Source organism: Homo sapiens, chromosome 9 (assembly GCF_000001405.40).
Source record: "Homo sapiens chromosome 9, GRCh38.p14 Primary Assembly".
Lineage (NCBI taxonomy): Eukaryota > Metazoa > Chordata > Mammalia > Primates > Hominidae > Homo > Homo sapiens.
Window position 1 is genome coordinate 98,728,032 of NC_000009.12, and position 12,413 is coordinate 98,740,444.

General features: G+C 47.9%; 1 protein-coding gene across 1 annotated transcript in view; it reads right to left on the reverse strand.

Moving 5' to 3' along the window:
- The window catches only part of ANKS6 (ankyrin repeat and sterile alpha motif domain containing 6), a 64,547-nt gene continuing 56,111 nt past the window's right edge, over positions 3,978-12,413 (reverse strand). The window contains exon 15 of the mRNA NM_173551.5: positions 3,978-8,592. Within this exon, the coding sequence (NP_775822.3) occupies positions 8,488-8,592 (105 nt within the window). The 3' untranslated portion in view covers positions 3,978-8,487. The remainder of the gene's footprint in view (positions 8,593-12,413) is intronic.

Below are 12,413 nucleotides of genomic sequence, written 5' to 3' on the forward strand. Positions count from 1 at the left end.
AAAATTTATTGATGACTTGTGAACTCTTTAAAATAGACTTTAAATTAAAAGCAAAGTCAGTGTGACCCAGGAATGATAAGTGGCCTATGTTCAAGTTCATGACAGACAGGGGATCAATGGAGACCCAGCACGTGGCTCTAAAAACAGTCTGCACTTTGTGCTTCCCCCCATTTTCCTTTGCTCCATATTCTTCCTTATGTGACTATGGTTTGTAAACTAAATTATGTGCGTTTATTGCTACCTAATTAACAAATATTTTCCATTTATTCTTGCAATAAGTCTGGCCAGTGCATCCCTAGGCCTTGCCACAGGTCCATATCCCAGCTCCTCTGCCTGCTCTTAGCTCCAGGGACATGGTGACTGCTGATAAGGAGCTCCTATGCCCTCCAAGGAACAGTGAGAAAATGAACGATTAAAAGTTTCTGTGCCCGAGGGTCACCTCCATGTGCCAGGCACTGTGCTGGACATTGAACGATGTGAGTCCTCACAGCAGCCCTGTGAGCCGGGGTGTTGTGACGCCAGTGGATCACAAGCTCCTAGAGGGCAGGGAATTTGCTTTACTCCCTGGTGCATCCCCCGAGCCGACGAGGGTGTGCCATCAGTGTCTGCTGCATGGACATGCTCGCCTACCTGAGAGAGGCTGTCAGCACCCCCACATGGCCTCCTAGTCATGTGACACCCATGAGGTCACCCCACAGAAGCTGCAGTGACAATGGTGTGCAGCCTCCAGCTTTAGCTCTTTCTTCGTTTCCCAGGTTCCCCTCCACGCACACTCAACTCTTTAGAAAGCCCCTTGTCACAGGCCGGGTTCCCTGGGAAGTGCGCTCTGAGGTGAAGCAGAGCCTGCAGCCTGTTGCTTAGGAACTGACCTTGGGACAGACACCTGTGGAAGGGAAGAAGAAAGGTAGGACTGCGCGGAAGGAGAGGCCAATGGCTGCGGCTGAGGCGGGGGAGCGGGAGTCCATGGGAGTCCACAGGGCAGCCTCAGCTGCCTCGAGGGCACCCATAGCTGAACAGGTCAGTCAAGTGGATGTCCATGCCAACGCCTGGGCGCTTCAGGGAACACTCATCTTCGGACTCAAAGGGAGTGTCTGGGTCATGATGAAAGTGGAGACAATTATCCTGCTAAAGAGCTGTGAGCACATGAGGCAGAGAAGCTCTGAGCCACGCTGAGACAGGAAATGAGAACCAGAGGAGCGGTGAAGGGGCATGGAGCAGGTGAAATGAGCTGGTGCCCTGGGAACATCCTGACCTCTCCCCTCCACAGGACCAGGACCAGGCAGCCCCACCTCATTCGCTGGCTCATTCTCAAAGCATTTTCTGTGCTGGGCTCTGGGGATACTGGCTGAAGACCTTCACTCTATCTAGACTGCTCTGACAAAGGGGCACATGGATGTGGGAGGGAGAGGAAAGGGAAGACCCTAGAAGGGCCACACACCTGTCACACTGAATGGCACGGTAGAGATGAACAAGACTCACTGAAGGTGAAACACCAGCCAGGTCACGGGCACGCCCACAACCTCCCCCTGGCAAACCTTTTAAAAAAAATTATGGGAACATATATAACATAAAACCAGCCATTTTAAGTCTACAGTTCAGTAGCATTAAGGACATTCACAACGTTGTACATTACCATTAGCTAATTCTACAACTTTTTCATCACCCTGAAAGGAAACCCCCTACTCATTAAACAGTCACTTTCCATTCTCGACCCAGCCCCACAACCATGCACCTGCTGTCTCCAGGGATTTGCCTATTGTGGACATTCCACATAAATGGAATCATGGAATATGTGGCCTTTGGTGTCTAGTTTAACTTAGCCTACTGTTTTCAAGGTTTACCCAGGTTGCAGCATGTATCAACTTCGTTTTTTTTTTTTTATGGCTGAATAATATTCCATTGTATGGATATAAATTTTGTGCATCTATCCATTGGACATTTCGGTTGTTTCCACCTTTTGTCTATTGTGAATAGTGCTATTAATATTCACGTACAAGCTTTTGTTTAAATACCTATTTTCAGTTCCCTGGGGCATATACGTAAGAGTGGAAGTGCTGGGTTTCATGGTCATTCTATGCTGAACTTATTGAGGAGCCACTCCCACTTCTTTTTATAGCTTTTCATAGAACCACTGGGCTGGAAGGGATCACAAAAGTGTCCTAGAAGAGTGTTGCTCAAACTTTTGGATTTCACACACCAGTAAAACTAAAACTATCACCACCACAATCAGCCTCTTCCAAAGTAGGAGGGACTTCTGTTGGAATGAAGGCCAGCATGTAAAATGGAAATATCCAGTGTCAGACAAACTCATGGCCTCGTTCTTGTTTTTCTCATATCACCTCCACCTGGTACTGGTGCGTGGGGACCACTTACCTGGTCCAACCCCCAGCCGAAGTCTGCATCCCCTCTCTAGCTGCCCTGGCACAGGCTGGTCCAGCTTCTGTGCCTAAGGAATGCTCCTGTCCCTGGGCAGCTCAGATCCCTGGAACGTTCTTTCTCGTGGAGTGCTGGCCCCGTGCCCATGGTCTCCCCAGACCCTTGCCTCACCCTCTAGGACCCCCAGCTTCCCCCCACCACCTTCCTAAGGCCTCCTAGGGCTAAGCCCACCAATGTGAGCTACTGGCACCGGGGAAGCATGAACAAGGCAGTCCCAACTTGCAAGAATTCTTATTATTCTTTTGAGACAGGGTCTCATTCTGTCACCCAGGCTGGAGTGCAGTGGTGTGATCATAGCTTACTGCAACCCTGAACTCCTGACCTCAAGCGATCCTTCTGCCTCGGCCTCCTAAATTGTTGGGATTACAGGCATGAGCCGCCGTGCCAGGCCACTTGTGAGAATTCCTAAAAGAAATAGAATCACTAGGCTATTTATAGCTTTCAGAAGCCCTCCTCTCCAAATGAACAAGTTAGAGGCTTCAAATTGTGAACAAGTTGCAGAGGCTAAACAACAGGTTTCATTTGTCTTGTTGCCTGGGCTTATTCAAATTCCACGTTCCCCTCTGTGCTGACGACACGCAGCAAGACACCAGGAAGAGTGTGAGGCCTGCACTCAGACCAGACTGTCCCTTGTCAGCTGTGTGACCTCAACAAAGTTGGTTAGCATCTGTGTGCCACAGTCACCATACTGACAGAAAAAGGAGTTTCAGTCTGCCTCACAGGGTTCCTGTGAAGATGAGGCAAGGTGACTTCTAGAAGCTGCGCCTGGCAGACCCAGGGACTCGCTCCATAGCAGCCATGACAGGCAGGAATTTGGGCAGTGTTTTACACCTTGGATGAATGTAGTCAAAGTGGGAAGATAACTTTACATCATTTAATATACACAGGCCGACAAACAATAATCTTTCAAAGAATTAAGTCCCTGCACAAACATAACAATAAAATAATAAAAAGTGTCTATGGTGAGGAAAATAGACACTCCCTTGGGCAGAAACTAAAATGGCATTCTAGACTCTTGGCAGTGAATACACTGGCCCTAGTGAGGGCCCTATAGGGGAAGGCCAAACCTAGAGGTGGAGACAGGGTCTCCGACACAAGGATGGCCATGCCCTGTGTCTCAGCCTTGGAGAGGGCTCCAGCAGGAAATGGGAACCTGGGAGGTCCCTATGCTGATGCGAGATGGCTCCACTCTGCTGGGCAGGGCCCCAAGTTGGCGGGGGTCCTGGAGCAAAGGGAGTTCTCAAGGGCAGGGAGAGGTGGTCTCAGCCTTAGGAAGGAAGCGCAGTGCCGGGGAGGGGAGCCGAGGACAATGAACTGGGCTTTGTGCTCGAGCTCACTACCCGTGATTCTGTGTGGATTTCCCTTCTATCATTCCCAAGCTTTGGCAACAACAACTGTTATTTTTGGGACTGGATTCTCAGCTGGGGGGCTGAAATTAAGGCAGGGTCTAAATCCACTCTTAGGCTGCATGTTAAGGAGGAGCAGAGCCCCCTGAGGCCAGAGGACCCACCTCACCCAGGGAGATTCCTTCTGCAAGCCAGTCCTGCAAAATCTGTTATCAGCTTTATTAGGGAAAACATCAGGTCTCTTTACACGTTGAACAGGAACTGCTGGTTAACAAGACACGATTAACTTGCTAGGAATGGACAAGGACAGCGACAGGATGGTGCTTCACAGTGCCTCCTGCTGATGGCACCTTCATTCTGGCTGCAGAATTCTCCCAGGAAGGGTCCCGGGCTCTTCAGGAGGCATTTACTTGGAAGTACAGGTCAGCGTTATCCAAAGTTGTCCAGCCTCCGGCCTGGCCCATGTCTTCAGGCAGCTCTGAGGCAAGAATAAAAGGGACGAGTTCCCTGCCCCCTTTTTACCCGCTGGATCAGCTTCTACGACTTGGTCAAACTATCTTTCTTTCTGTCTGCCATGCCAGGAAATCCAGTGACAGCAAGACCCAGAGTCAGGCACATTTGGAGGGCAGGTCCATCGGCCACTCCTCACTTCTGTGGGCTCCGATGCCAGCAGAGCCACCTGAGCGGCTGCTACCTCTTGCCGGAGGCAGTTTCTTCTGGCCTCACCCACCCAACCATGGCTACGTCAGGGCAGAAGGGAGAGAAGAAAGAGAGATGAGAGATGAAAGGATTTAAAATGGGCAACCATCTTTGAGGTTTCCCACATCTGCACCGCTCCACAGTGTGAAAAGGGCTTTCTCACTTTCACATGATCCCTGGGGGCTACTATCCCCCTGTAACCAAAAGGGAAACTGGGACTCAAAGGGAAGAAGAAACGTGCTCAACATCACGCAGCACTAGGTCTATGTCCAGTGCTCTTTCCAGGGTAACAGGTTGCTTCTACTCATTTTAAAGGACTAAAAACAGAAAAACAGGCACCCAACTGACCCTTCCTCCCTGACGATCTAGAACTTACACATTACGTGCTGCCTTTGCACATGCCCCAGCTGGAATGCCCTTTTTCTTTTCTGCCTAAACCTGCCCTTTGAGGCCCCACTCCATCTCTCTCCTCTGGGGCGTGCCCAGGCTGAGCCTGAGCCATCATCGATGACTTTCCCTGAGCTGTATACCCAGCAGGCTTCATCACCACACCATCTCACCGACATGATTGTCTCCTCTAAGATACTGTGGGGTTCCCTTGAGGGCAGAGAAGTCCTTTTTCATCTTTGGAGACAGAGCGTACGAGTAGGGCTGGCACAGGGTAGATGCTCAGTAAACGTTCGGTAAACAAAAGAATTAAAAAATAAACAATCTCCTCACAAAACCAGCTGGCCTCCATGTAATTTTGTGGCGCTGAAGAAGAGAGGCAGGAGCCCTCCGTGGCCAGCAGGGACTTGGACATCCAGCACTCACGACACACCAGCAAGACACTGCCTGGGTGCTGGGAAACAATGCCCTCCACCCTGCAGGAGAGCTCAGGGTGGAGCCTCAGCTCAATGCCCTCAGGCTGGAGAGCTCTCAGAACAGGGACCCTGCCATCTCAAAGCAGGACCGGTCCCCTGATGTCCCACTGCCAAGCAGGCCACCTCTGCAGAGCTGCTGGGGAGAAAAAGGTGACCACCAAGGGCCCTGACCCACTTCCAGGGCTGCAAGGCCTCTTGGTTGCCGCTGTTCCAGAAAAAGCGGGGCTTCTCCAATGGTGTCCAAGGAATTCCAGTCTTGCAAAAGCACCTTGGAGAAGTGATGAGAGTAATGTGGGAGATGCTATGAGTTTCTTGGCCCTGTGAAGAGGCCTGACCCATGCTGGCATGCTGAAGGTTGTGAGAGGCCTGTAGCAAAGATGATCGTGTAGCTCGCTTTAGTGTCTGCCAAACCTACTCAACCAGGGAACCTCACCCCACTTTCACATACACACCCTACGTTTCTTTATGAAAAACCTATTATCCTGTGGAACTAGGGTTCCCAGGAGCATACTTTTGGGAAATGCTGGTGAAGGTTGCCAAGCAAGGGAGGTGCTTCTTGTGGGGGGAACAGCCACAGGCAGGCTGGGGACACGTGTGGGAAGGGAAGGGGGTGATCAAGGACCAAAAATCAGAAAAACAAGCACCCAACTGACCCCTCCTCCCTGACGATCTATAACCTACATGTTCCGTGCTGCCTCCACACATGCCCCCGCTGGGGTGCCCTTTCTCTTCCCTGCCTACCAGCCGCATCCAAACATCCCCAGAAAGGGTGCCAGGGACCTCTTGTGAACCAGCACACAAACTTCCTAGGATGAAAAGCCTTGGACACTTGAGTCCAGTGAAAAAGAAAGGAAAGGCATTGTCTGGAGCCTCTGCTGTCCTGTCTGCAAAATGGGAATAGCCCCGCTCTGTCCAGGGTCATCCAATGAGTTCATGGAGGTCTACATTTGTGAAAAGGTGACCCCCCGGTGCAGCTGTGTATCATTGTTCAATCAAACTTACCTGAGTGGAAGCTATACCAGTATATTGTTATGAAAAAAACAGGACCACAGCAAAAAGCAGGCACAAAACCTCAAAGCACATAACGTCAGGGGCCATGAATTTCAGAGGCAAACAATTCTAGGCCTACTGTTAACCCCTGAAGCCATCAGTAAATTAAAACAAGAATCACAAGTGCTTCTAGCTCCAGGAGTCTATAGGAGTTAGTGGAAAAGGCACAGGCTTGCAAGCCCACCAGGTCCGGTTCTGACCCCAGATCTGCTCCTTCTGGGCTGTTTAACTGGCAAGCTGCTTCCCTCTCCTAAGCATCCGTTTCCCGAATGTGCAAGATGAGGTTACACAATGCCACCTCCAGGGTGGCCATGAGGATGAAATGACAAAGGTAAAGCTGCCAGCACATAGTAGGGGATGAATGAGTGTGTCTCCTTAAAAAGGCTGGGACATTAGTAACCTTTGTAAAGGTGTCTATCAGTAACAGCTAAATGAAACACTTTGTCTTCAGTCCTGTGGAAAGTTGGCTTCTGTGAGTGTAAGGCTGAGAGAATTTAAAGGAAAAACACCCAACCATCAGGGCAGGGGAAGAAAACTACGAGGCTCTGGGCAGTAAGTTAACGACAGCCTCTGAAAGCCAGCATAGGGGAATGGGCTTTCATGGCTGGGGGAGGGACAGATGAGAGATGGCACCTCCCAAGGAGACCAACTTGTGGCTCAGCATGGCTCAAGGTAGAGATCAGAATTCTGTGCAGCCTACCATCGACTGGGTACTTCCTGCAGACCCAGCACTTTGGGCATACTGGTTCTAAGCTCCAACTAAGAGGCCATTGAGCTTCATCTGAACTTTGAACCTGAGTCCAGAGCACAAGGTCTGCCCACTCTACCATGCTGCCTCTCAATGTCGGGACCATCTATTTACAGGTGTTCTCTTGCCTGTCGAGAGCCTGAAGGCTCTGTATTGTGTCTGCACACTTGGCACCTGGTAGCTAACATAAATGCAACAAGCACTGGCTGAATGAGTCATTCACTGGAAAACACTTCAGAAAGCCAGTGGGTTTTAAAAGTCAGGGCCCCTCTAATTTAATAAAATATGATATGGTAGGAAACTACACAAGCCAATTCCCTTTTGAGGAACACAGCATTAATAGGATGTAGACAAAATTCCAAATTTTCACTTCTTTGCCTAGAAACTTTGAGCACCAGAGACCTTTACACAATGTGACCCATTAGCCTTCTGCTTCCACTTTCAGTGCAGAAAGCCCTGCAGTGATACAGGTGAGCACTGTGGAGTACCAGAGCATCATCTGGTCTGACCTTCCACTTTGCAGATAAGGAAACTGAAAGCTAGGAAGAAGAAGGGATCCACACAGCAGGCCTCCACTTCTTTCCTTCTATAATAGACTCTCTTTGCAATAAAGAAAAATGCGTTTGACATACACATCTCCAATGTAAGCTGTATGCAGCAGGTGCAGTGGAATGCTACAGCAGTCACATACACAGCACTAAGGGACCCAGTGGCTGAAAGGGGGTCAAAAAAGACTTCATCTGAGAGGTGACTTGGACTAGGAGGGGCAAGTTAGAAGTTTTAAGGGAAGATGTGCCAGGAAGGCTAACCTCTCACCATAATACATACCCCCCATCTAAGTCAAAAGTTGTTGCTGGGAAGCCACTATGTGGAGACTGCACATCCTGGCCTCCTCTGCATCCAGGTGGGGCCACATGACTACCAGTGGCCAAGAGGACGTGAGCAGGAGTGATGTGTGTCAGTTAAGAGCAAGGCAGGTAAGAAGCAGCCGTGCCTTCTCCATCGTCCCTTTCCCTTGCCGCCAGCCAGAAGCAAACTCTGAGGCTCCCGGGGAGGGCAGAGCACAGGATGAAAGGAGCTGAGTCCCTGCATCACTGTGTGAACCAACCTGCCAAGCAGAAGCACCCCCACTGGACTGTTACATGGGAATCTGTCTCTGTGTGTTGAAGTTTGTTGCAGCAAGAAGTACTACCAATGAATGCCGTCGACGTGAAGTGGGCATCCCGAGCAAAGGGAACAACATGACTAAGGCACAGCAGTGTGACGGGGGCAGGGCTGGGGCTGTGGCCACGTGAAGGGGTCCCGGGATTCAGAGAGCTCACGCTGGTGGCTGCGGGAAGGAGGATCACGCACAGGGGCTGTTGCCAGGGGCCCTGGTGTTGCTGGCACTGCTCTCAAAGGAAGAGTGAAAGTTGTGAATGGTTTCCTGTAAAATTTGTCTCTCGCGTCCCTGTGGAGGAAATTGAAAACAGACACAGAAAGTCTTATTAAACCTTTTAACCATTAATTCAATTGACACAGTGTTGTTAATGTTCAACTCATACTTCAAAAACCCATGGGCGTCTTGGGGAAAATAAATTACCTAACTGAAAGAGTACCGAGTTCAATAAAAACATACTGAGTCAGAATCTCCCCAGTACCCACCATCGCAGCCTGTCAATGCTGGAGAGGCCCTGGGATGCAGGACCCCAAACCCCTGGACAGAGTGGGAGGCCGAGTCCGGGGCAGGACTGACTTCTCCCGAGTCGCACGGCCCGGATTCGAGGTCTCCTTTCCTGCGCCTCTGTGCATCTTTCCAGTCCTTAGATTTCCAGATAATTCAATGGGAGCCAAGTGTCCTTCTGCTACAGGATAAGAGTTTAAACTGCCTTTGCTTCCCTTTGCCCAAAAGCTGCCGGATTTGTCTTCACAGAGATTCACTTCTCACTCTATTCCTACAACGCCCCCTGCCCCCTATACACACATTTTCAGATGAGAAAAGAGGGTGGATGTGAATGTTCTGTTAAGCCCAGAAAACATCATCACTGCATTCCAGGCTCGGAGGCAGCAATACTCAGAGGTTAAGAACAGAGACTGCGTCCTAGCCAGAGCAATCAGACAGGAAGTCAAACTGTCGCTGTTTGCTGATGACATGATCGTTTACCTAGAAAACCCTAAAGACAGCTCCAGAAAGCTCCTAGAACTGATAAAAGAATTCAGCAAAGTTTCTGGATACAAGATTAACGTACACAAATCAGTAGCTCTTCTATACAACAACAGTGACCAAGCTGAGAATCGAATCAAGAACTCAACCACTTCTATAATAGCTGCAAAAAAATAAAAAAAAAAAATACTTAGGAATATACCTAACCAAGGAGGTGAAAGACCTCTACAAGGAAAACTAGAAAACACTGCTGAAATAAATCATAGATGACACAAACAAGTGGAAACACATCCCATGCTCATGGATGGAGAGAATCAATATTGTGAAAATGCCCATATTGTCAAAAGCAATCTACAAATTCAATGCAATTCCCATAAAAATATCACCATCATTCTCCACAAAATTAGAAAAAACAATTCTAAAATTCATATGGAACTGAAAAAGAGCCCGCGTAGCCAAAGCAAGAATAAGCAAAAAGAACAAATGTGGAGGCATCACGTTACCTGATTTCAAACTATACTATAAGGCCATAGTCACCAAAACAGCATGGTACTGGTATAAAAAATAGGCACATAGACCAACGGAACAGAATAGAGAACCCAGAAATAAACCCAAATACTTACAGCCAACTGACCTTTGACAAAGCAAACAAAAACATAAAGTGGGGAAAGGACACCCTTTTCAACCAATGGTGCTGGGATAACTGGCTAGCCACATGTAGGAGAATGAAATTAGATCCTCAACTCTCAGCTTATTCAAAAATCAACTCAAGATGGATTAAAGATTTAAATCTAAGACCTGAAACTATAAAAATTCTAGAAGGTAACATTGGAAAAACCCTTCTATACACTGGCTTAGACAAGGATTTCATGACCAAGAACCCAAAAGCAATGCATAAAAACAAAGGTAAATAGCTGAGACTTATTTAAACTAAAGAGCTTTTGCATGGCAAAAGGAACAGTCAGCAGAGTAAACAGAAAACCCACAGAGTGGGAAAAAAAATCTTCACAATCTATACATCTGACAAAGGACTAATATCCAGAATCTACAATGAACTCAACCAAATCAACAAGAAAAAAACAAACAATCCCATCAAAAAGTGGGCTAAGGACATGAATAGACAATTTTCAAAAGAAGATATACAAATGGCCAGCAAACATATGAAAAAATGCTCAACATCATTAATGATCAGGGAAATGTAAATCAAAACCACAATGTGGTACCACCTTACTCCTGCAAGAATGGCCATAACAAAAAAATAAAATAAAAAAAAAAACAGTAGATGCTGGAATGGAGGTGGTGAAAAGGGAACATTTCTACATTGCTGGTGGGAATATAAACTAGTACCACCACTATGGAAAACAGTGTGGAGATTCCTTATAGAACTAAAAGTAGAACTACCATTTGATCCAGCAATCCCACCACTGGGTATCTACCCAGAGGAAAAGAAGCCATTATATGAAAAAGATACTTGCACACACATGCCTATAGCAGCACAATTCACAACTGCAAAGTCATGGAACCAACCCAAATGCCCACCAATCATCGAGTGGATAAAGAAAACTGTGATATATATATGATGGAATACTACGCAGCCATAAAGAGGGATGAATTAATGGTATTCGCAGTGACCTGGATGAGATTGGAGACTATTATTCTAAGTGAAGGAGACTATTATTCTAAGTGAAGTAACTCAGGACTGAAGTAACCAAAAATAATATGTTCTCACTTGTAAGTGGGAGCTAAGCTAGGAGGATGCAAAGGCATTAAGAATGACACAGTGGACTTTGGGGGACAGAGGGGGAAAGGATGGGAAGGGGGTGAGGGACAAAAGACTACATATAGGGGGCAGTGTATACTGCTTGGGTAATGGGTGCACTAAAATCTCACAAACCACTGCGAAAGAACTTACTCATGTAACTAAACACCACCTGTTCCCCAATAATCTATGGAAATAAAAAATTAAAAACAACAACAACGACAACAACAACAACAACGAATAGAAACTGGGCTGGGCATGTGGCATGCACCTGTAGTCCCAGCTACTTGGAGACTGAGGTGGGAGGATCGCTTGAGCCCAGGAGGTCAACTCCAGCCTGGGCAACAGAGCGAGACCCTGTCACAGTCTAGGTTTGGAGCCCATTTCTCCTATTTGCTAGCTGGGTCACCCTGAGCAAGATACTTAATCTCCCTGGGCCTTGGTTTCCTCATCTACAAAAGAGGGATGATAACAGTCCCTCAGGTGACGGCTGTGAGATGATTAGAAGGCCTCAGACACAAAGCTGTCCATTGCAGCACCATTTATACAAAGTTTGAAAATCTATATAACCAACAGGTAGGAATTTTTTAAAAATTAATTTTAGCACATTTCCCCAACAGACCCTGTGTGGGTAGCTGGAGGCAGACAGATCCTATCCTCAGAGGGCAGCAGTGGATTAAACATTTTTTTTTTTTTTTTGAGACGGAGTCTTGCTGTCGCCCAGGCTGGAGTGCAGTGGCGCAATCTCGGCTCACTGCAGGCTCCGCCCCCTGGGGTTCACGCCATTCTCCTGCCTCAGCCTCCCGAGTAGCTGGGACTACAGGCGCCCGCCACCTCACCCGGCTAATTTTTTGTATTTTTAGTAGAGACGGGGTTTCACCATGTTAGCCAGGATGGTCTCGATCTCCTGACCTCGTGATCCGCCCGCCTCGGCCTCCCAAAGTGGGATTAAACATATTTTTAAAAATTAATAAATATGGTCAAAATGTAAAGTAAATTAAAAATGTATCATCTCTGGCAGACTGTTCTCTACTAAGAGTGAAAAGGGGGAAAAATCCACTGAATGAGCCCAGACTTCAAACTTTCTTTCATTTCATGGACTCCCCATAGCCCAGAGGGGCCCCTCTCCAGACCCCCACACAGACACCTCTTGTGCTGATGAGGCCTCCTAGACTCGAGAGGACAGTAAGATTCTCCCTTCATCCCAACCAATCCAAACAATTTTAAATAAGCTGGGAAAATGCCCTCCAGATTCCATCAACACAATCCAAAGGCTGGAGGGTATGACAGAGCATTGGATGCCAAGTCAGAGGATCTGGAATCCCCACTCTACCACTGATTAGCGCCAGGATCGCAGGCCCGCCCCTTT